Raw genomic sequence first — 25,738 nt, forward strand, 5'->3', positions numbered from 1 at the left:
GAGAATATGAAGCAACTAGAACTCTTACACATCAATAGTGGGAATGTAAGATGGTACAACCTCTTTGGAAAATCTTACAGCAGTTTCTTGCAAAGTTAAACATATAGCCTAGTAATTCAAGTTCTACATTTTTACACAAGCAAAATGAAAGAATATGTCCACATTATACATAAATGTTCATAGATGCTTCATTCATAATAGCCCAAAACTGAAACCAATATACCAGTTGATGTGCCAATCATTAACTAGCAAAGGTATAAACAAATTGTAGCACTTCCATAGAATGGAATATTATCTAGCTTTATAAAGAAAAAAATTTACTGATACATGCAATTACATAGGTAAAACTCAAAAACAGCATCCTGAATAAAAACATCAGATACAAAAGAGTACATATGATTCTATTCATTTGAAATTCTACAAAAGGCAAAACCATCACAGTGGCAAAAGCAGATCAGTGGCTGACTGGGGCAGGAATGGGAAGGAAAGATGAAGATTGGCTGCAAAGAGGCATTTAGAGAACTTTTTGAGATGATAGAAATGTTCTATATTTTGCTTGCAGTGGTGATTACACAAGTATAAGTATCTGTGAAAACTCTCTGAACTCTACATTGAGAAATGGACACATTTTATTATATGTAAATTGTGCCTCAATAATGTAGCTTTTCAAAAAATACACGCAGTCGTATTTTTCAATAGGCAAAAACTTAAAAACACCTAATGAAAGAATATGAATAGGTAATAAGCATATGAAAATGTTCAACAGTACAGGAAGATGCAAGTTAAAATGACAAGATACCAACATATACCCACTAGAATGGCTCAAATTAACAAGAGCTTAAATGTTGGTGAGCACATGAAGCAATTGAAACTCTCATATGTTGCTGATAGGGTGTAAAATAGGACAAACACTTTGGAAATCTCTTTGGCAATTTCTTATAAAGTTAAACATACGCCTCCCCACTGATCCAGCAATTCCATCCCTAAGGGAAATAATGCACATGTCCAGGCCGGGTGCGGTGGCTCACGCCTGTAATCCCAGCACTTTGGGAGGCCGAGGTGGGTGGATCGCCAGAGGTTGGGAGTTCGAGACCAGCCTGACCAACATGGAGAAACCCCGTCTCTACTAAAAATATAAAAAAATAAAAAAAATTCAGCCAGGCATGGTGGTGCATGCCTGTAATCCCAGCTACTCAGGAGACTGAGGCAGGAGAATCACTTGAACCCGGGAGGCAGAGGTTGCCATGAGCCGAGATCACACCATTGCACTCCAGCCTGGGCAACAAGAGCGAAACTCCATCTCAAAAACAAACAAACAAAAAAAAATGTCCACAAAAAAGACCTGTACAAGGATGTTCACAGCAGCCTTATTCTAACAGTCCTAAACCAGAAACATCCAAACGTCCAGCAACAGGAAAATGAATAAAATATGATACATCTATACAATGAAACACTACTCCGTGATAACAAGAACAATAGATTCAAGCAACAACATGGATTGATCTCACAGACATTGCATTGAGTGAAAGAAGCCAGATACCAAAGTGTATGTACCATAAAATTCCATTTCTATGAAGTTCAAGAACAGGCAAACTAATCTATATGCTAGAAATCAGGACAGTGGCTGGCCTGGGGTTAGGGGGTTGTCTGGATTGGGGCATGGTGGGATGATAATTGGAAATGGAAATGTAGGGAACTTTCTGGGATGATGAAAATGTTGTTTATCTTTATGGGAGTGTGTGCATTTGTCAAATTCCCTTGAACTGTATAGCTAAGATCTGTATGTAAATTATACTTCAGTTTTTAATAAAGAAAGAAAAAAGAACAAAGGAAGTTGAACACATCACTTCTGCTTGGATCTCAAAGACCAGAATCTAGTCACATAACCATACTTAGCTGTAAGACAGACTGGGGAAGTCTTTGTTCCAAGTGGTTTTGTGCCCAATTAAAATTTGGAGGTATTTTTCCTGTAGAAGCAGAGATTTGATTTACAGGAACAATTAACAGTCCCTGTCATTGGCCAAGCAACTAAATTATGGTTTGTTTGTTTTGTTTTGTTTTGAGACAGAGTCTCGCTCTGTCACCCAGGCTGGAGTACAGTGGTGCAATCTCGGCTCACTGCAACCTCCACCTCCTGGGTTTAAGAGATTCTCCTGCCTCAGCCTCCTGAGTACCTGGGACTACAGGTGCATGCCACCACAACAGGCTAAATTTTGTATTTTTAGTAGAGATGCTGTTTTGCCATGTTGGCCAGGCTAGTCTTGAACTCCTGACCTCAAGTGATCCACCCGCCTCGGCCTCCCAAACTGCTGGGATTACAGGTGTGAGCCACTATGCCTCACCTAAATTATCTTTCTTTTGAGGGATGTGGGCTGCAAGGAGATTTCAAATACTTGTAATTTAATAATTCTTTTTGTTGTTGTTTTTTGAGACAGGGTCTCACTCTGTCACCAGGCAGGTATACAGTGGCACAATCATAGCTCGCTGCAGCCTCAGCCTCCCAGGCTCAAGATATCTTCCCACTTCAGCCACCTGCATAGCTGGGACTACAGGCATGCACCATCACAACCCACTGATTTTTTAGAAAAAATTTTTTGTAGAGACGGGGTCTCACTGTGTTGCCCAGGTTGGTCTCAAACTCCTCAGCTCAAGCGATCCTCCCACTTCAGCCTCCCAAAGTGCTAGAATTACAGATATGTAATATAATAATTCTTCTAATTCTGTCATGCTACCTTCTGTAATCTTTTAGTGTTTCCCTTTCCTTACTGTAATCAGGCAAGACCACTGTTTCTGTAGTGACCATAACCTTGGGAATCTGCCAAGGGCACGCTGGGTGACAAATGGAAGGAGGCCTAAAGGAAGAAGGGTAGCAAGGCTGGGAAGGAAAATGAAACAGCCTTGAAAGTGTGAATGAAAACCTGCACAGGAAACACAGAATGTGTGACATTTGCCACCTTCCAGTTAGAAGGAGCCACCTCTTTTGTGTTTAAAGTCCAACTTGGCTTCCTTTGGGAATTTAAGATGCGGAATTTCATCTTATAGGTCTATCAATAGACCTATCAGTATAGGTCCTCTCCTGTATTGATGGATTCAGCAAGAGTAGCATTCCCAGTCTCATGAAGCCTTTAGTCCCTGCAAAGGTGGTACTGGGGATGCCTGCCAAACAGATCTTTCTCTCAATAGATAATCCAATGTTGATGCTGCTACCATACTAGAATTTTCCTACAGAGAAGCTTGTTCCCTAGGCAGGAACTGGAGAAAAGCACAACTTTCATTTCCCTTGGGAAGCATACATGGTTGATTTCATTGCGGCAAGTAACCCCACACCTGTGCTGTCTCAGTCTCCTGCACATTCAGTCAGACATTTATTGAGTGCCTGCTCTGCTGGCACCAGGCTCAAAGCTGGGAATACACAGAACGTACAGAACTGTATCCTGGGGTGGGGGTTAATCTCCCATTCCTAGCCAACCCTCTGGATTAAGCCCCTTGACACTGATATCAACCAGAACCACACCCAAGAACCTCAGGACCAAGCACTCTGGGAAAGAGCCCTGGCCTATTTCCCCAGACACCTCCCCTATCCCATTCCCCCACACCACCCCCTGCCACCAGCCTGCTCCTGCTTGAGCCAGACACAACCTCTTTCCCAATATAGACAGACGAGAGATGAGCAGGGTCTGCTTGATGAAATTGGTCTATGGGCTGCCTCCAAGATCTGGCTGCAAGGAGAATGGACTGGAAATTGCATGGCCATTATCTTTGCTGACAACCCCCTCTCCTCATCTTTCCAATATAATGAATTGCATGGAGAGCTCAGCTGTCATGAAAGCTTTTGAATTCCAGCCCTACCATCCTCCAGGACATCCTTAGAGGTTATCTCAGCAAGGCAGGTGGAAGAGGAAAGAGAAAAGCTTAACCCTATAAGAATAATTATGATGTATTATTAGCAACTGATGGCAATCTAATGCAGGATTTTCAATATAGACGCTGCTGACTGTAATTTTTCTCTGTCATATGTGCACGCACTAAAAGACTACATTTAATGACTCCAAAGTTCAGAGCAGTTTCTCAAACTAAATTTAGTTCCTTAGAAGCAGTGTCTCAATACAGTCCATTTTCATAAAATAGAGATACAGTCTGAATATGGAAGATACTTTTCAGGGTAGATGGAAATTTTAGGAATAGTATGCCTATAAGATAAGACCACTAGTTGGCATTAGTGTTGAGTTTACATGGCCATGCCAACTGCATTATGCGCCGAAATTGGAGTAGCACTGGAAATGACAGAACCTCATGAGCCATGGGATCTAATCATGCCATGAGTAACTTCCAGGCAGGAAATCTATCTTATTGGTTTCCATTTCCAGCTCCTGGCACAATGCTGGCCATGAGCAGAGGTTTGAGAAATGATTGCTGAACTCCCCTGTCCAAATCTTGCACACCTGCATCTAATGGACCCTGCCTAATTTGCATCTGGAACACTAGCTATAAGGGAGTCTGGGAAATGTGGTGGTGAACTTTCCAACCTCCCTAACTAGAAGGAAGGTAGAGCAAGTTTGAGGACGCCAACATAGCATACCTACCATACTCTCTAATGACCCGCCCTCAGCTTACGCTCCCACCACCTTCCTGAGCCCCTCCCTGAGGGGCAGCACACGCCTAGAGCTGACTCCTGATCAGCCCACTCATGGACGCTGGTATCAATGAGGACAGGAGAACACAAGGCTGCCTGTGCTGCAGCCATACAAGTTTTCCCTCAGTTTCTCAAAAGCTCCAAACTCTCCCTGGCCACAGGGACTTTGTGCATACTATTTCCCCTGCTAGAATGGTCTTCCCATTTCACCTACCATCCTCTTCTAGGTAACTTTATCCTTTGAATTGTAGCTTAAACATCATCTCCTCCAGGAATCTTTCCCTGACTCCCCAGACTAGATCACCTTCCCCTGTGAGATGCTCATTTAATACCACAGCATTTGTGGATTATTAACAGATCCCAGGCTCCCCTGATCAGCCACATACCATGACAGTGTGCCTGTGAGTCTCTTTGTCACCTCAGCCTGTAGGTCTAGACTGAACCTAGACTAGGCTGACACTTAGACTATCTCACCCCAACACCCACAGCCACAGTCCTTGTTCTCAAAGATGCACTGAAGTTGACAGTGATCTTCATGGCTTGCTTCATCCACACATTGATGAAGATGACACCCTAACATCCCAATTTTTGTTGTATAAGTACATTCACTGCTAAAGTATGTTTATACTTTACAGCAATATCCCAGACATGCCACATGTTCCCTAAACACATGGCATAGCAGTTGAAGACGTGGGCCTTGGTGTCAGGCAGACCTAAGTTCAAACCTTGGCTCTGACACTTAGTAGTCATGTCACCTGAAACAAGTTTCTGAGCTCTTTTTTTTCCTCATCTTTAAGAAGGGATAGTAAATATCAGCCTTGGAGAGTTATTATAAGAACTAAGCAAAATAAACCAAGTGAGAGAGCAAGACATTGCCTGGCACCTAAGTGTATGTTATGATAATCATCATCATAAGAGGGTTCTTGGAGTCTTCGTTAGGTAGCATGTTATGTCAGTTTCTTTGGCTGAAGATGTCATATTTAACTCTTCCTCAGGACGATGGGAATGACTTTTGAGGCTCTCAATAGAAGAGACAGCTAGAAATCCCTCTAGACTGTGTCCTGCACACACGGATCTAACAGGCCACCTAGAGCCCACCAGTATGTCAGAGGACACTGGCTCACACTCTTGGAAAGCAATGTGGAGATATTTACCAAAAGCTAAGAAAAACCTCCATCTTTTGACCCAATATTTTAACTCCTGGACGACATGCTAAAGGATTAATTCAATGAAAGCAAAAAGTTTTCTTTTTTTTTGAGACAGGGTCTCACTGTGTTACCCAGGTTGGAGTTCTGTGGTATGACCATGGCTCACTGCAGCCTCAACCTCCCGGACTCAAGCTATCCTCCCACTTCAGCTTCCCTAGTAGCTGGGACTACAGGTGTGTGCCACCACACCGGGCTAATTTATAATTATTATTATTATGCTTAGTAGAGATGGGGTCTTACTATATTGCCCAGGCTATTCTCAAACTACTGGACTCAAGTAGTCCTCCCACTTTAGCCTCCCAAAGTGCTGGGATTACAGGTACGAGCCACTGCATCCAGCCCCCAAAAAGCTTTCTTTGTGAAGATGTTCACTAAAATCACTCAAGATTGGAAACCCTTCTGATTACCAATAATAAGGGATTGGTTTGGCAAATCAGCACACTGAGATTTTACAGCCATTAAATGGTTCACCATGAAGTCTCTGTAGAAAAATGAAAAAAAAAAAAAAAATGTTTCTTCTACAATGTGAAGAGCAAATACCCAGTCTGGCAGAGGGCCTGCCAGACAAAACAACGACCAACAGGGAACACCCCAAAATTGAAAGAGTTGGGAAGGGGCAAGGTCAAGGAGATTTTAGAAAAATGTCCTTTAATATTCATTTTAATACTGTGCTGTTTTTACAGGTTTAAAATAATCATCCTACTGGGCATTTCTAGCAGATGATTGAAGCCTAAGGAAACCCTTGTCTTAACTAGTGGAAATAAAAGGGTCCTTCCTCAGTAGAACAGAGTTTGATGTCTTAAGTCCATGCTATAGATGAGATTTACTGGAACAAACAAGGCAAATAATATTGGAAAGACTAGTTACTAGGCAAAATCAAGTTTCTTCCAGCCTAGAATAAGGTGGAACATTTAACATCATTTAAAGGGTTATACACTCTTTAAATGGGTTTTAAAGACTTAAGATGAGACCAAAAGTTTGGTCCTCCCATTCTGATGCACTGCAGCTAGAGGAGCCTCACTTCGGGTACCCTAGAGAGAAGGCAGAAACAGCCAGAAAAGTGCCACAGAACAGGTTAGTCGTGAGGCCCTGAAAGCTATCTGCAGCTTAATAGCATGGCATTTACGGTTGAGTTACAGGATTTGATTCCAGTATTTCTCCCCTAGTCCTTGAACAAGAAACTGACTTGGGGCTGTTCATTCTATGGAAACACTCAGAAAGAGGCATTACCCATATTTATAAATGTGGAAATACTCTCAAACTTAGGACTTGAGAATTCTAACCACCTTCAATTAACCAGAGTTCCAAGACTCATGCCCTGGACTCTTAATGAGGCAGGCACGATGGCATCTAAATGCATTCAGATCCAGTTGGGGCCAGGATCCATTCATCCCAATCTCCTAATGGTTCTACCTCCGAGTCCACAGTAAAATTCAATATTCAGAATGGTGCCTCTTTGGCCTTGCAGTCTCCTCAATACCATCCCCAGCTAGCAAAACAAGGGCTGGACAGAACTCACAGCTGTCTTGGGAATAGACAAGGGATAGCCTGGGTGGGCAGAGGCCATCCTCAGCAATGTCCAGGAGTAGGAATTTGGCCAAAGACACCTGGAATAATTGTGGTACCAAATAGGGGACCTTCTGTTCTGAAGCAATGGGTGTACAAGGTGGACATGGGTCACAAGAAACAAAGCTAGAGGCCAGGCATGGTGGCTCACATCTGCAATCCCAGCACTTTGGGAGGCTGAGGTGGGAAGATTGCTTGAGTTCAGGAGTTCAAGACCAGCCTGGGAAACATAGCAAGACCTCATCTCTACTGAAAATAACTTAAAAAAATATTAGCCAGCCATGGTGGCACATGCCTGTAGTCCTAGCTACTCAGAGGCCTGAGGTGGGAGGATCACTTGTGCCCAGGAGATGGGGACTGCAGTGAGCTATGATTGTACCACTGCATTCCAGCCTGGGCAACAGAGTGAGAAAAGAAAGGAAGGAAGGAAGGGAAGGGAAAGGGAAAGGGGAAGGGGAAGGGAAAGAGGAAGAGGAGAAACAGAAGAAAGAGAAAAAAGAGACGGAAGGAAGGAAGGAAGGGAGGGAGGGAGGGAGGGAGGGAAAGAGAGCAAGAGGGCAAGACAGAAAGAAAGAAAAGAAAAGAAGTAAAAGAAAGAAAGGAAAAGAAAAGAAAATAATGAATTATCCCTTAGAACAGCAGTTCCCAACCTTTTTGGCACCAGGGACTGGTTTCATGGGAGATAGTTTTTCTATGGACCAGGATGGGGGTGGGGGGGGTCGGGGACAGGGGGAGGTGATGGTTTGGGAATGACTCAACTGCATTACATTTATTGTGTACTTTATTTCTATTAGTATTACATTGTACAACTCACCATATACACCTCACCATAATGTAGAATCAGTGGGAGCCTTGAACTTGTTTCCCTGCAACTAGATGATCCCATCTGGGAGTGATGAAAGACAGTGACAGATTATCAGGCATTAGACTTTCATAAGGAGCCCACAACCTAGATCCCTCACATGTGCAGTTCACAATAGGGTTTGTGCTCCTGTGAGAATCTAATGCCACTGCTGATCCAACAGGAGGCAGGGCTCAGGCAGTATTGCAAGCAATGGGGAGTGGCTGTAAATACAGATGAAATTTCACTCACTCATCTGCCACTCACCTCCCACTGTGTAGCCCAGTTCCTAACAGGCCACAGACCAGTACCACCCCGTGGCCCAGGTCTTGGGGAGCCCTGCCTTTAGAACACAGGCATGTTGACAGAGGGCAGCCAGCAGCAAGTAGTTAGTGGGGCTAATGGGACTCTGCTGTGACAGCAAAGGGTGTGGGAATAGCAGGGATGATATTATCAGAGAATTATCTCTGTTCTCATTGGGGCAGAAAAGGCCCCTCCCATTATGGTGCCTTGGAGCTCTGGACCCTGATCCCCAGCCTGGATTTCAAATATGACCCATTGTCAGGCCATGGACCCCTTTGTTGTTTGGAGAAGATGGTCACTGTCTTAATGGGGGCTCCTCTAGGAGCAGATCATGAGATAAGGAGATGCAGTTTATTTGGGAGGTTAAGAACAAACATGTAGAAGTGTGGAGATGTGAGGCAGAGAAGGAGAGGCACCCCAGCCCTAATTCAATATATTAATCTGTTCTCACACTGCTGATAAAGACATACCCGAGTCTGGGTAATTTATAAAGAAAAAGAGGTTTAATGGACTCACAGTTCCACGTGGCTGAAGAGACCTCACCATCATGGCGGAAGGCAAAAGGCACATCTTACATGGCAGCAGGCAAGAGGGGTTTATGCACGGAAACTCCCCTTTATAAAACCATCAGATGTCTTGAGACTTATTCACTATCACAAGAACAGCATAGGAAAGACCCACCTCCATGATTCAATCACCTCCCACGGGATCCCTTCCATGACACCTGGGGATTATGGGAGCTACAATTCAAGATTTGGGTGGGGACACAGCCAAACTATATCATTCAATAAACGGTGCTTTAATCAAGCCAGTTACTACAGGCAACTGGAGCTTAATCCCCCCAGGAAAACTCAAGAAGGGAGTGTAGACACAAACACAGAGTAAGTGGGTCTGAGAGGTGAGAGGGCTGGAGTACCCACTGGTTACTGATTGATGGCCAGATGAGTAGGGGACATTCATTCCCCACCATTTCCAGCATGGACAGTAAGGCAAGCAGAGTGATCTGAATGCCACAAAAATGCCTTCAGGTGCTGATGGTTGAAGGTCAGGTCTTCTTACACTAACATGCTAAGGGTGGAGGGGATATGGGCAGGTCATCACTGGTGTCACCAATTTTAAAAAAGTTTTTTAAAAAGACATAATCCTTTTATCACCCCCGCCTCACACACCATCTAGCTTACAGTTTCTTTCTGCGACTAGCCCTCCCCCACCTGCCCCAACAATTTCTTCTTAAAGACGTGGCTGGAACTGAAGCTATAGCCAAGGTTAATGCTCCTTTTTCTTTATCCGACCTCTCCCAGATCAGTTAGCATTTAGGCTCTTCTTCATCAAATATAAAAACTTAACCCAGTTCATGGCCCATTTGGCAACAACCCTTAGACATTTACCACCCTAGACCCAGAAAGGCCAGAAGGCCATCTTATTCTCAATATGCATTTTATCACCCAGTCAGCTCCCGACATTAGAAAAAAGCTTCAAAAATTGGAATCTGGCCCTCAAACCCCACAACAGGAATTAATCAACCTCGCCTTCAAGGTGTACAATAATAGAGAGGAGGTAGCCAGACAGCAATGCATTTCTGAGTTACAGCTACTTGCCTCCACTGTAAGACAACACACAACCATGTCTCCAGCATACAAGAACTTCAGAACATCCAAGCCACAGCTCCCAGGGGCTCCTTCAAAACATCCTTGTGGACCTTGCTTCAAATGCCAAAAGCCTGGCCACTGGACCTCAGAATGCCTGCAGCCCGGGATTTCTCCTAAGCCATGCCCTGTCTGTGTGGGCCCCCACTGGAGGTCGGACTGCCTGACTCACATCACTGCTGCTCCTAAAGCCCCTGGAGCCCAAACCCAGTGTTCCTTGGCCGACTCCTTCCCAGATCTCCTCGGCTTAGCAGCTGAAGACTGACACTGCCCGATTGCCTCGGAAGCCCCTTGGACCATCTCAGACACCGAGCTTCAGGTAACTCTTACAGAAGAGGGTAAGTCCGTCCTCTGTTTAACGGATACAGGGGCTACCCACTCATTACCTTCAAGGGCCTGTTTCCCTTGCCCCCATAACTGTTGTGGGTATTGACGGCCAAGCTTCAAAACCCCTTAAAACTCCCCCACTCTGGTGCCAACTTGGACAACATTCTTTTATGCACTCTTTTTTAGTTATCCCCACCTGCCCAGTTCCCTTATTAGGGTGAGACATTTTAACCAAATTATCTGCTTCCCTGATTATTCCTGGACTACAGCCACATCTCATTGCCACCCTTCTTCCCAACCCAAAGCCTCCTTCACATCCTCCCCTTGTATCTCCCCACCTTAATCCACAAGTATAGGACACCTCTACTCCCTCCTTGGTGACTGTTCATGCACCCCTTACCATCCCATTAAAACCTAATCACCCCTCCCTCTCCCTCTCCGTCTCCCTCTCCCTCTCCCTCTCCGTCTCCCCACGGTCTCCCTCTGATGCCGAGCCAAAGCTGGACTGTACTGCTGCCATCTCGGCTCACTGCAAACTCCCTGCCTGACTCTCCCGCCTCAGCCTGCCGAGTGCCTGCGATTGCAGGCGCGCGCCGCCACGCCTGTTTTTCGTATTTTTTTGGTGGAGACGGGGTTTCGCTGTGTTGGCCGGGCTGGTCTCCAGCTCCTAACCACGAGTGATCCACCAGCCTCGGCCTCCGGAGGTGCCGGGATTGCAGACGGAGTCTCGTTCACTCAGTGCTCAATGTTGCCCAGGCTGGAGTGCAGTGGCGTGATCTCGGCTAGCTACAACCTCCACCTCCCAGCCGCCTGCCTTGGCCTCCCAAAGTGCCGAGATTGCAGCCTCTGCCCAGCCGCCACCCCGTCTGGGAAGTGAGGAGCGTCTCTGCCTGGCCACCCATCGTCTGGGATGTGAGGAGCCCCTCTGCCCGGCTGCCCAATCTGGGAAGTGAGGAGCGCCTCTTCCCGGCTGCCATCCCGTCTAGGAAGTGAGGAGCGTCTCTGCCTGGCCGCCCATCATCTGAGATGTGGGGCGCGCCTCTGCCCCGCCGCCCCGTCTGGGATGTGAGGAGTGCCTCTGCCCAGCCGCAACCCCGTCTGGGAGGTGAGAAGCGTCTCTGCCCGGCCACCCCGTCTGAGAAGTGAGGAGCCCCTCCGCCTGGCAGCCGCCCTGTCTGAGAAGTGAGGAGCCCCTCCGCCCGGCAGCCGCCCCGTCTGGGAAGTGAGGAGCGTCTCTGCCCGGCAGCCGCCCCGTCCGGGAGGGAGGTGGGGGGCAGCCCCCACCCAGTCAGCCGCCCCGTCCGGGAGGGAGGTGGGGGGCGCCTCCGCCCGGCCGCTGCCCCGTCCGGGAGGTAGGGGGCGCCTCTGCCCAGCCACCCCTTCTGGGAAGTGAGGAGCCCCTCTGCCCGGCCGCCACCCCGTCTGGGAGGTGTACCCAACAGCTCATTGAGAACGGGCCATGATGACGATGGAATAGAAAAGGGGGAAATGTGGGGAAAAGATAGAGAAATCAGATCATTGCTGTGTCTGTGTAGAAAGAAGTAGACATAGGAGACTCCATTTTGTTCTGTACTAAGAAAGATTCTTCTTCCTTGGGATGCTGTTGATCTATGACCTTGCCCCCAACCCTGTGCTCTCTGAAACATGTGCTGTGTCCACTCAGGGTTAAATGGGTTAAGGGCGGTGCAAGATGTGCTTCATTAAACAGATGCTTGAAGGCAGCATGCTCGTTAAGAGTCATCACCACTCCCTAATCTCAAGTACCCAGGGACACAAACACTGCGGAAGGCCGCAGGGTCCTCTGCCTAGGAAAACCAGAGACCTTTGTTCACTTGTTTATCTGCTGACCTTCCCTCCACTATTGTCCTATGACCCTGCCAAATCCCCCTCTGCGAGAAACACCCAAGAATGATCAATTAAAAAAAAAAAAGAAAAAGAAAAAAAATAAATAAAAAAATAAAGCCTTCAACTAAAAAATAAAAAAAAAATTAAAAAAATAAAAATAAAACCTAATCACCCTTACCCCACTCAATGCCAATATCCCATCCCACAGCATGCTTTAAAAGGATTAAAGCCTGTTATCACTCGCCTGTTACAGCATGGCCTTTTAAAGCCTATAAACTCTCCTTACAGTTCCCCCATTTTACCTGTCCAAAAACCAGACAAGCCTTTACAGGTTAGTTCAGGATCTGCTCCTTATCGACCAAATTGTCTTGCCTATCCAACCTGTGGTGCCAAACCCATATACTCTCCTATCCCAATAACTCCCTCCACAACCCCTCCATAACCCATTATTCTGTTCTGGATCTCAAACATGGTTTCTTTACTATTCCTTTGCACCCTTCATTCCAGCCTCTCTTTGCTTTCACTTGGACTGACCCTGACACCCATCAGCCTCAGCAACTTACCTGGGGTATACTGCCACAAGGCTTCACAGACAGCCCCCATTACTTCAGTCAAGCTCTGTTGGGAACAAGCCCCCCAAAATCTGGCCATAAACTGGCCCCAAAACTGGCCATAAACAAAATCTCTGCAGCACTGTGACATGTTCATGATGGCCATAACACCCACGCTGGAAGGTTGTGGTTTTACAGGATTAAGGGCAAGGAACACCTGGCCCACCCAGGGCAGAAAACCACTTAAAGCCATTCTTAAGCTACAAACAATAGCATGAGCGGTCTGTGCCTTAAGAACATGCTCCTACTGCAGTTAACTAGCCCAACCTATTCCTTTAATTCAGCCCATCCCTTCGTTTCCCATAAGGGATACTTTTAGTTAATTTAATATCTATAGAAACAATGCTAATGACTGGTTTGCTGTTAATAAATACGTGGGTAAATCTCTGTTCCGGGCTCTCAGCTCTGAAGGCTGTGAGACCCCTGATTTCCCACTTCACACCTCTATATTTCTGTGTGTGTGTCTTTAATTCCTCTAGCACCACTGGGTTAGGGTCTCCCCAACTGAGCTGGTCTCAGCAAAGCCCAAATTTCTTCCTCATCCATTACCTATCTCAGCATAATTCTTCATGAAAACACACGTGCTCTCCCTGCCGATCATGTCCGACTGATCTCTCAAACCTCAACCCCTTCCACAAAACGACAACTCCTTTCCTTCCTGGGCATGGTTGGATACTTTCACCTTCAGATACCTGGTTTTGCCATCCTAACAAAACCGTTATATAAACTCACAAAAGGAAACCTAGCTGACCCCATAGATCCTAAATCCTTTCCCCACTCCTCTTTCTGTTCCAACCCTTTTTCATTACACACAGCTGAAGAGCAGGGCTGTGCAGTCAAAATTCTTACACAAGAGCCGGACCACGCCCTGTAGGCCTTTTGTCCAAATAACTTGACCTTACTGCTTTAGGCTGGCCATCATGTCTCTGTGTGGCAGCCGCCGCCGCCCTAATACTTTTAGAGGCCCTCAAAATCACAAACTATGCTCAACTCACTCTCTACAGTTCTCATAACTTCCAAAATCTATTTTCTTCCACACACCTGACACATATACTTTCTGCCCCCTGGCTCCTTCAGCTGTACTCACTCTTTGTGGAGTCTCCCACAGTTACCATTGTTCCTGGCCTGGACTTCAATCTAGCCTCCTACATTATTCCTGATACCACACCTGACCCCCATGACTGTATCTCATTCACTCCATTTCCCCGTATTTCCTTCTTTCCTGTTCCTCACCCTGATCACGCCTGGTTTGTTGATGGCAGTTCCACCAGGCCTAATCGCCACACACCAGCAAAGGCAGGCTATGCTATAGTATCTTCCACAACTATCATTGAGGCTACCACTCTACCCACCTCCACTACCTCTCAGCAAGCCGAATTCATTGCCTTAACTCGAGCCCTCACTCTTGCAAAGGAATTACGTGTCAATATTTATACTGATTCTAAATATGACTTCCATATCCTGCACCACCATGCTGTTATATGGGCTGAAAGAGGTTTCCTCACTATGAAAGGGTCCTCCATCATTAATGCTTCTTTAATAAAAGCTCTTCTCAAGGCCGCTTTACTTCCAAAGGAAGCTGAAGTCATACACTGCAAGAGCCACCAAAAGGCATCAGATCCCATCACTCAGGGCAATGCTTATGCTGATAAGGTAGCTAAAGAAGCAGCTAGCATTCCAACTTCTGTCCCTCACAGCCAGTTTTTCTCCTTCTCATTGGTCACTCCCACCTACTCTCCCACTGAAACTTCCACCTATCAATCTCTTCCCACACAAGGCAAATGGTTCTTGGACCAAGAAAAATATCTCCTTCCAGCCTCACAGGCCCACTCTATTCTATTGTCATTTCATAACCTCTTCCACGTAGGTTACAAGCCGCTAGCCGGCCTCTTAGAACCTCTCATTTCCTTTCCCATCATGGAAATCTATCCTTAAGGAAATCACTTCTCAGTGTTCCATCTGCTATTCTACTACTCCTCAGGGATTGTTCAGGCCCCTTCCCTTCCCTACACATCAAGCTCAGGGAGTTGCCCTGCCCAGGACTGGCAAATTGGCTTTACTCACATGCCCCGAGTCAGGAAACTAAAATACCTCTTGGTCTAGGTAGACACTTTCACTGGATGGGTAGAGGCCTTTCCCACAGGGTCTGAGAAGGCCACCGCAGTCATTTCTTCCCTTCTGTCAGAAATAATTCCCTGGTTTGGCCTTCCCACCTCTATACAGTCTGATAACGGACCAGCCTTTATTAGCCAAATCAGCCAAGCAGTTTCTCAGGCTCTTGGTATTCAGTGGAACCTTTGTACCCCTTAACATCCTCAATCTTCAGGAAAGGTAGAACGGACTCATGGTCTTTTAAAGAAATACCTCATCAAGCTCAGCCTCCAACTTAAAAAGGACTGGACAGTACTTATACTTCTTGCCCTTCTCAGAATTAGAGCCTGTCCTCAAGATGCTACAGGGTAAAGCCCATTTAAGCTCCTGTACGGACACTCCTTTTTACTGGGCCCCAGTCTCATTCCAGACACCAGCGCAACTTGAACTGCACCCCAAAATCTTGGATAGAGCCTAAAAACTTGTCAACCAGGCAAGTAATTATGCTGAACCTCCTTGGGCACTCCCTAATTAGATGTCCTGGGTCCTCCCAATTCTTATTTCTTTAATACCTGTTTTTCTCCTTCTCTTATTCGGACCTTGTGTCTTCCATTTAGTTTTTCAATTCATACAAAACTACATCCAGGCCATCACCAATCACTCTATATGACAAATGCCCCTTCTAACAACCTTACTGCAAAATCTTCCTTCAGCATAATCTTTCCCACTCTAGGTTCCTACACCACCCCAATCCCACTTGAAGCAGCCCTGAGAAACATCGCCCATTATCTCTCCATACCACCCCCAAAAATTTTCGCCGCCCCAACACTTTACCACTATTTCATTTTATTTTTCTTATTAATATAAGAAGACAGGAATGTCAGGCCTCTGAGCCCAAGCTAAGCCATCATATCCCCTGTGACCTGCACATATATATCCAGATGGCCTGAAGTAACTGAAGAATCACAGAAGAAGTGAAAATGGCCTGTTCCTGCCTTAACTGATGACATTCCACCATTGTGATTTGTTCCTGCCCCACCTTAACTGAGCAATTAACCTTGTGAAATTCCTTCTCCTGGCTCAGAACCTCCCCCATTGAGCACCTTGTGACCCCTGCACCTGCCCATAAGAGAAAAACCCCCTTTGACTGTAATTTTCCACTACCCACCCAAATCCTATAAAACGGCCCCACCCCTATCTCCCTTCACTGACTCTCTTTTCAGACTCAGCCCACCTGTACCCAGGTGAAATAAACAGCCTTGTTGCTCACACAAATCCTGTTTGGTGGTCTCTTAACACAGATGCGTGTGACAGGTGTCTCCCTCTGTCACCCCAGTTGGAGTGTAGTGACATGATCATGGCTTACTGCAGCGTTGAACTCCTGGGCTCAAGCCATCCTCCCACCTCACCCTCCTAAGTAGCAACGACTAAAGGCACATACCACAGCCAGCTAAGTGTTTTTTAATGTTGTCTTTTTTGTAGAGATGGGGTCTCACTATGTTGTCCAGACTGGTCTTGAACTCCTGGCATCAAGTGATCCTCCCAAAGTGCTGGGATTATAGGCGTGAGCCACTGCACCCGGCCAGTGTCATTAAATTTAAACGTTGTCTGATTCGGTGATGCGAACTGGTAAGGACGCCCTTCCATGGGTTCACCCAGCTCCACCGACAGTTTCCCCTAAAAACAGGGGACTCATTACCCACCTCCCAAGGCAGTCTAGCATTTCCATTCTCAGAGAACTCTCCATGGTAGAAAGTTCTTCCCCCAGTGAACTGATATTAAGATCCCTGTGGCTTCCACCTGCTGGTCTTAGCATTGCCCTGTAGGCCATGCAGAACCACGGGAAGCCGCCTGCCTCCAGGAATTCAATTCTGTTCACAATGGTGTTCTTTACTTAGGCAAGACAGCAAAGCAAGCAGATGTGCTTTAGGAAGAATCCCACGAAGGACTGCTCAAACAAGAGGGAGATTTTAGTTAATTAGCAACAGATTCCAGTAATCAGACGAGACCACTCCCAGTCCTTCTTCTGAATAGAACGTCCATGGTAGGTGCAGTTGTTATTATCAGGCAGGCTGAGGGCTACATACATTTATCATAAAATATGAGGCTTAAATTCAATATCAAGATGAAAGTCAAACCAAAGCTCCCTGGGAGACAAGGAGCTCGGCTCTCACAAGCCTAGAGTGGAGAATATTGCCTTTCAGCAAATAATACTTCTAATTTGATCTTGCAAAGATTCCTGCAAAGAAGAAAGCAACGAGATGTCAGGAGAATGTGGAATGTGTACTCTTCTATATGTATTTTTTATCATGGCCACATTCTTCAGGATCTCAGTCATCAATTACTTGTGACAGGCAGTCAATTGTTTATCTTTCAAGAGCATTACCACTTACTTTCCTTTATACATCTTCCCTGTATTATTATGCGGACAAGATCATCTATTTTCTCCTCCCTTCCAAGCCCTTCCGTCATTTGCTGTCCAGCATCCTGGTGTAATGCCCTGGAAAGATTGGCTTTGTGAGGCTGGAAGAAAAATGACTTTCCGCTCCCCACTCACCAAGGCATACACAAAAGGGCACCAAACCAGCGTTTAATTCAGCCAGATGTCAGGGCCCTGCTAGTGGAAATTCACTTCTGTGTGTTAGAACAGGTGTTTCTGTGAGATCCTCAGAGAAACCAGAACAGCTAGAAGCAAGAACATTCCCCCACCCCTTTTCAGAAAATAGAAGCAAGTTTCTGCCATGAAAGCCATTTTTGCTTAAAACACCAGGCTGAAATAATTGCATATTTGTTGGGGATTGACAGTTGAGTTTTTTCATGAATTTTGCTATCTTTTGACGGTAGCAAATAAGTAGGTAGTAAATGCACTCTCTTGGGGCTTTTAACAGCAGAAAAAAAAATAAAAATAAAAATCACAGTAGGAAAATTTCCCCCAAAGAGCATGGCAATATTTCCATACTTTGCTGCACTTAAAGGGAGAAAATGGGCATTAAGTGTAACAGGGTTGTTATAAAAACAGTGGTTCTATTTCCGGATCTTTCATTTGCCAAAAGCCTCAATACACAGTCACTGAAAGTGGAAGAATGCCAACCTGAATTTCTATAATGCGCCTTGCAAACAATTGGATTTATTCTTAATGGACCCTTGATGCATTTTTACATTATGCAGCATGTAATTAGCTATTAAATGACTTAGGAATCAACGACTCCGATTTTCTGGGACTGATGCCTGATGAATGATTTCATGCTGTTCTTTTAAATCAATATCGTGCTGCCCACAATTTAGTGGTGGATTTGAGGGGTGTTTTGAGGGGAGAGGGGTTAAAGATTTCTGAACCTGAAATAACAATGCAATATTAATGATAAACCTTTTAACCAACCTGCAGACTGCAAGGCAGTTCTGAGCAGCACCAGCTGAATTCAGTTTCTGTAAATAGCACTTCAAACTCGCTCAGACGTTCTTCTCACCAAAACAAACAATGAACAAACATAAACATTTCCCTTTTTATAAATAATGTCAGGGAGGCCAGGCGCGGTGGCTCATGCCTGTAATCCGAACATTTTGGGAGGCCGAGACAGGTGGATCACGAGGTCAGGAGTTCGAGACCAGCCTGACCAACATGGTGAAACCCCGTCTCCACTAAAAATACAAAAATTAGCCAGGTGTGGTGGCATGCACCTGTTGTAATCCCAGCTACTCAGGAGGCTGAGGAAGGAGAATCACTTGAACACCATAGGTGGAGGTTGCAGTGAGCCAAGATTTCACCATTGCACTCCAGCCTGGGCGACACAGCAAGACTGTCTCAAATAAATAAATAAATAAATAAATAAATAAATAAATAAATAAAGTCAGGGGATTTTGGTGGTGGAGAGGGAGTCAGACAACTGGCATGAATTTATGAAACTCATACCACATGCCCAGAATGGCTGGCGCGGGGGTGACAGGTCATTTATTGAGATATGAATCTGCATTTTGTTCTTGCCGCATTTTTCTCACAGACTCTCCATCCCCCTTTCCAAGAAGGGAGTCAGAGCCTGAGCACCCCATTGGTTCAAGGGAAGCTTGCACACTCAGGGCCTGAAATAGAGGTTGCTTGCAGAAAAACTCTTTTCCTGGCTTCTGAGAGTGCCAGTTCACTGAGAGACTGACGCTAGATAATCCAGAAGGTGAGAAGAGAGAGCTGAGCATCTCTGAAGAGAGCAGAAGCAGCAGGAAATTGGGTTGGGGAGGTGCTTCTCCAAGCCTGGCAGGAAGGTAGAGGTCTACAGGCTCTGGATGGAGACCCCCAGCAGCCGGGAGGGTAGAAGGATCTCTAGGGGAAGTGATTGTGAAGACCACCCGGCAGTTGGCAGAGGGGCTGGCTGGGGAACCATGACTCCCAGGGCCAAGCATGGGCAGCCGTGAAAGCTGCAGGAGCCCTTGGTCAGCCCAAGAGTCCCAGGACCTGCACGGGGCCCTGGGCCAAGGGAAGGAGCCCCAATCAGGATGGAAGACCCTACCAGCCTGGCAGGATCAGGCCTGCCAGGCCTGAGTTAATATGGTTAAACAGGTCAGAGTTAATATGGTTTCAAAGAGGTATTGGGTACTTCTTACATAGCCAAGCTTGCAGGACAACAGTCATATCCCACCACAGTTATTGCTGCTGACTGGCAGCCTAGGCACCTTCACTTTCTCCAGTCATTGCTGCTGCCACCTGTACCAAGGGTCAAGTCAAAGAACAATGATGACCATGAGTAGGGGTGACTCCAGGCCACCAGCCAGCATGGCCTGGAAGGGCAGCCTGCAAGCCTGCCAGAGCCAGGAGTTGGGACAGGACCATTCCTGGCTCCCAAATTCCCTCCTCCCCTCTTCCCATGAGTGTGGGCAACTCCTAGGTCTGGGTGTCTGCTCTCACCCCTACCCTGAGATCTGCCAGTTCCTCTGCTCCCTCCAAAGCAGGCCCCACCCTGTGCTGGGTGCTCAGGATCCAACAGGGAGTGAAACAGATAAAGTCCCTGCCCTCCCAGACCCTGGAGGCAGCTCTACCTGATTTGGCATTGCCATCTGCCACCCTGATCCTGAGTGCTTCAACACCCGGAGCTTGAATTCAGACAGGTAGCCCCAATGGTCTTCCTTCCCAGCCCTGCCTAGCCCCACACTGCCATCTGGTCCCACAATGCCTTGCAACACAAAGCCTGGCAGTGTGCAGGAACTAGGCTTGGCTGCCACCTTGAAATGAAGAGGGAAAGACACTAATTGCAGTGAGAACAAAAATAAATTAATATCTCGATACATCATTGTACCACAAAATGACCAGAGAAAAATGCAGGGCCAAGCAGCATAGAGCACACTCAATGAAAGAGAGGTCATAGGAACCAGTCATGGAAGAGAGCTGGATGGGCGTGGCTAGGTGGAGGGTCCGGAAGCCCAGCGGGGAGTTCACCATGGTTCCCATCTTCTAAAACCTGTGTTTTGAATTCCAGCGCACACTGTGCAGGAAGACAGGAGAGAGCAACCAGCTGTGACTCGCGCATTGGCTGATGGGAGTGAAAAAAGTACGATCTGTTCAAAAGCAATTTGTCAAAACATTTCAAGAGCCATAAAAATCTTCTAACCTTTGATCCAATAAGCTTACTCCAGGGAATATATCTGTAAGGAATGAATTCAATAATAAGAAAAATAGGTTATAATAAGTGAGCACCTACTCTATGCTAGCTGCTATTTCAAGCACTTTAAATGCGTATTTTCTAAATTAGCCAGGTGTGGTGGTACACATCTGTAATCCCAGCTACTCGGGAGGCTGAGGCACGAGAGTCGCTTGGACCCGGGAGGTGAAGGTTGCAGGGAGCCAAGATCGAAGATTGCATCACTGGGCTCCAGCCTGGACTGAGCAAGACTCTGTCTCAAAAAAAAAAAAAAAAAAAAAAATGTGTATTTTATCGTTTAATTCTTACCACCCTTGAAGTAAATCCTGTCATTACACCCAATTTACAGATGATGAAATTGAGACACGAAGAGTTTAGACAATTTGTATATAGTAAAAGAGGCAGCATCCAAACCCGGAGCCAGCCTTCTCAGTCACTACCCAATGCTGCCTCCCAAAGATCAAGAAAATTCTATATAGCATTATCTATAACTGTGGAACAGAGAAGACATTTATATATTTATAAACAATATATATATGAGTAGCCGGGCATGATGGCTCATACCTGTATTCCCAGCACTTTGGGAGGCTGAGGAGGGAGAATGACGTGAGCCCAGGAGTTCGAGACCAGCCTGGACCAATATAGGAAGACCCCATCTCTACAAAAAATAAACAAAATTAGCCAGGCGTGGTGATGTACAGCTGTGATCCCAGCTACTCAGGAGGCTGAGGTGAGAGGATCACTTAAGCCCAAGAGGTAGAGGCTGCGGTAAACTGTGATCACGCCACTGCACTCTAGCCTGGGCAACAGAGAAAGATCTTATCTCAAAATACATCTAGATCTAGGTATAGGGTGCACTATGGAGGTACAGCCAATAGACTCCTGTGCAGGTTTGGAACTGATTTTAGTGGAGACAGTATCACATCACAGGCAATATGGAAGGCTGCAAGGAGGAAGGGGCGTCTGGGATGAATCCAAGGAACCAGCAAAAATAATCATTTGATTATAGAAATACTCAGGTGCTGGAGGCAGGGGTGGTGTAGAAAAGTGTCCCAAGCAGAGGAATGCAGGCAGAGGAGGGGCTTGGCATATTCAGGGAACCGGGAGGCCATGGAAGGGCCAAGGCACAGAGACCAGAGGGAGCAGTCAAAGCTGCAGCTGAAGTGCCGAGCAGAGGCCCATGGACCAGAAAACTGTGAGGAGGAGGCTGTGTCTCCAGGCAGGAGGTGGTGGGGGAACCCAGAGCCACTTGGGCAGCAGAATCAACAGGGTATGATGGTTAATTGCATGTGTGAGGGAGTCACAGAGGACTCTGGGTTTCTCAGTGAATTTGTTGTTCATGGAGACAAAATACAGAAGGAGGGGAGGAACAGGCTCATTGGAGATAGCCCTAGCTTCCCTGAAAAACTGGCTTATATGACTACAGATATTTACCTGTGCATTGAGAGTTTGTGTGTTTTTCTCTTGTGTATACATGCACACATATATTTGTATATAGGTATATACCCCAATAATTAAACTTTGGCATTCATAGCTATTGAAATAACACTAAGACCTAAAGATAGAAATATCATTTGACCCAGCAATCCCATTACTGGGTATATACCCAAAGGAATATAAATCTTTCTATTATAAAGATACATGCATGCATATGTTCATTGCAGCACCATTCACCATGGCACAGACATGGATTCATCCTAAATGTCCATCAATGATAGACTAGATTTTTTAAATATGCTACATATACACAATGGAATACTATGCAGCCATAAAAAAGAATGAGATCATGTCCTTTCCAGGGGCATGGATGGAGCTGGAGGCCGTTATCCTTAGCAAACGAATGCGGGAACAGAAAACCAAATACCACATGTTCTCACTTATAAGTGGGAGTTAAATGGTGAGAACTCATGGACACATAGAGGGGAACAACACACACTGGGGCCTATCGGAGGGTGGAGGGTAGGAGGAGGGAGAGGGTCAGGATAAATAACTAATGGGTACTAGGCTTAATATCTGGGTGATGAAATAATCTGTACAACACACCCCCATGGCACACAAGTTTGCCTGCGTAACAAACCTACACATGTGCCCCTGAACTTAAAAGTAAAAAAAAAAAAGAAATAACACTGTTCAGAGAGCTCACGTGACTATAACCTAACAAAGGTTGAAATAAGGTCCAAGAATGAGTTAAAGGAGAAAAGCAGACCCTAAGAGTACTGGAGAAGACGTAAGAGCCGTCACATGTCACCAGGTCATTTGGGTTACTCAGCAATTCCAGGGACAAACTTGTAGGTCACCCCTGGGGCTCCCTGCCCTCCTTCAGCACTCGCAGACCAGGTTGGGGTTAACTCTGAAATTCCAAATAACCAAGGCCCTCCTAATGGCCATTGAGGACATTAATCAGCTTATTAATGTCCCTAGGCCCCAACCTGTCTCCCCAGAAGTGACCCCCACCATAGAACCAGCAACATGGCATTTGCAATGCCACTTGGTGTCTCAAGATCAGCAATTTGTCTCGGTGGAGCTGGGATGTCATCTGCTGCAGTGCCATCAAGTTCCAGTTGATGATTTAGTTCCGCCCCTCTACAGAGGCCCTCTTTCCCTGGGCAGCTGGGGACTCATTCCCTAGGGACTCCGAAGACCAGGGCCTGATTTTCCGCTTTCCTTCTAGATTTCTGTTCCTGAGACCCAGGCTGCTCCAGTCTCTTCTGCCTGGAAGTCTTTGGGGAAAAAAAAAGAAACGGATACTCTCCACCTTCCCCAGATCCATTGGGATGAGAAACTAGTGCCATGGGCCCATGATCCTGGGGCCCCTGGGCTTCATCAGAACCCCCTAGACTTTCTCAAGATGTTGGAGCTGAATGGGACCCTGGGGATCATCTAGCCCAACTCCCTTCTCTTGGGTTGGGCTAGATGGTCCCCAGGGTCCCACTCAGCTCCAACATCTTGAGAAAGTCTTAAGGGGAAACTGCAGCCCAGAGAAAAGAAGCAACTTTACCTACAACACACAACAGGGGCTAGAACCTGAGTTTCCCGGCACCCAACCCAGCGCTGGTACAGACTCCTCACTCCCAGAACTTCCCTCAGCTGTGCCAAAGTCCTGGTAAAGATGGCTCCCTTTCATAATGGGGGAGGGTAGACTCTATTTCAAGACCAGCCACCTTGTCCCCAATTATATTGACCTGTTTAACACATCTTCATTGAGCATCTTCATTCACTGCATACCAAACCCTGTTCTAGGTACTGGGGCTATAGAAATGAAGACATGACTTGTTATTGGCCAAAGAAGGAGGCCAGAGGAGGAGGAGGAGAAGAAGGAAGAAGCGGCCCGGGGAAGTGGTGAGAAGAAATATACTTTATCTTCTAAGATTCATCACTGTTGCTCCCCTTGGTTCATTCAACCAACAGGTATTAAGCATCCACTATGAGCCAGGTACTGTGCCTGAGCCCAAGAGCTGTGCCCAGGAGCTCATGGAACAGCAAGAGGCTAGCCTGCCTCACCTCCCCTCGCTGTGTGCTTGTGAGCCCTCCCTGCCCCACTCAGCCTGTTTCTCTAGCTTGAGTACTGACATTTGTTCATTCTAAGAAGCTACACCAGAACGTTGTCCAGAGCCGCTTCTAGACTCCTGTCTTTGCCCTGTTCTTCCTGCCCCTGGGCTCTCCACCCAGACAAATGTGACAGAACTTGATGACAGGGCCACCATCCCGGTGTCCGTTTATCGGGTCAGATGGAAGTGACTGATGAAATGGGGCTTTCTCATCTCCTGGAGAGAGAAGCCCTTCCTCCCTCCCCCAGCCCCCACTGTAGACCAGGCACAAAGGATTCAGAATGCAAGTAACTGTCCTGTGAACAATCCCTTCTTTTTGACCCTCAGGGTTGCCCTGAACCGGGCACCACCTGCACAACTCCAGGAGGTGCTGTTCACATGGGGCTGAAGTACACTCTGACCCAGGAGTCTGGCCCTGCACGGCTGTGTGGCTGGGCGTGGCTGCCCAGCCCCTGAGATCAGAGGGTGTGTCCCAGTGTCTTTGACTTTGGGGAAGCCAGGAGAGGGACTGCGCAGGCAAGTGGCAGATGGACGGGAGCTGGCGTTTCAGGGTGCAGAGCACACAATCTGGAGCCAGCCATTTGAGTCCTGTCCAGGCTGTCTGGGCCGCTAACCAAGACGATGCTGGGAAGAGGGTTTGCCGAACTGGATGAGGATGAAGGGGAAAAATCAGTTCAGACAGCTCGCTTTAAATGTAATTGCTCCATCTCGAGAATCCGTCTGGCTCCCGGGCAGGTGGACTGTGTGTCTGGGCCTGGCCCAGGCTGGGGGAGGCATTGCACTCCCTGATTGAATTACTGCATCTCCAGGCACTCAGGAGAGTGGCCCCCGAGTCCTGCCACGTCCCGTGCACCCCTGCCTCCCAGCATGCATGGAAAACCTTCACAGTTAATCTAATGACATTCTGCAGCCTAGAATCCCCAGAGCAGGAACAAGGCTGTGTCTGACTTGATAGCCATTTCAATTAGCCAGAGGCCAAGGAAGGGACAGAAGGGAACGAGAGAGAAGGCCAAGTCTGGGGGGATGGGAGCTTGTCTGAAGGCCTCACCAAAGTACTGGTCCCTTCCTGGTGACACACTAGGAACTTCACCTGTCCTCACCAGACAGGGGCCTTTCTCACCATAAATGGGGCCCAAAAAAAGGCAAAATAAAAATGACCCTCTGCTTTTGCTCAGGGTTACTGTGACAATAAATGAGGACATACACACCATTCTTGGTTGTCGTTTTATCCCTGAGAAGGGCCAGTAAAAAGGACACCTGCCTGGGAGACAGGAGCCCAGAGTTTAGCGCTGGCTCTGCCATTATTCACTGCTCATTACTGGGCCATCATCTTCCCTCTCTGGGCCTCATTCTGTAAGGATTGCACTACATCCATGGTTTTCTATGTTTTTCTTCAAATGAAACCTTCCGAATAACTCCAATATATAGCAGAGACAAAAATACAGCCTCCCAGGTGGGAAGGCAGGTGGGCTTCAGAGCAGGTTCCTCCTCATAC

At 46.7% G+C, this 25,738-nt stretch overlaps 1 long non-coding RNA gene across 2 annotated transcripts in view, besides 1 other annotated feature; it reads right to left on the minus strand.

Moving 5' to 3' along the window:
* Positions 1–25,738, minus strand: part of LINC03036 (long intergenic non-protein coding RNA 3036) — a 245,028-nt gene that overhangs the window by 99,424 nt on the left and 119,866 nt on the right. The window lies entirely within an intron of this gene.
* Positions 11,335–11,943: an enhancer, noted in NCBI's record as "H3K27ac hESC enhancer chr10:120654814-120655422 (GRCh37/hg19 assembly coordinates)". NCBI's record gives its function as "activates a minimal SCP1, AML or CMV promoter by ChIP-STARR-seq in naive H9 embryonic stem cells {active_cell/tissue: H9 hESC(naive)}" and the evidence as "EXISTENCE:reporter gene assay evidence [ECO:0000049][PMID:30033119]".

The sequence above is a fragment of the Homo sapiens genome, chromosome 10 (assembly GCF_000001405.40).
Source record: "Homo sapiens chromosome 10, GRCh38.p14 Primary Assembly".
In the NCBI taxonomy this organism is placed as follows: domain Eukaryota; kingdom Metazoa; phylum Chordata; class Mammalia; order Primates; family Hominidae; genus Homo; species Homo sapiens.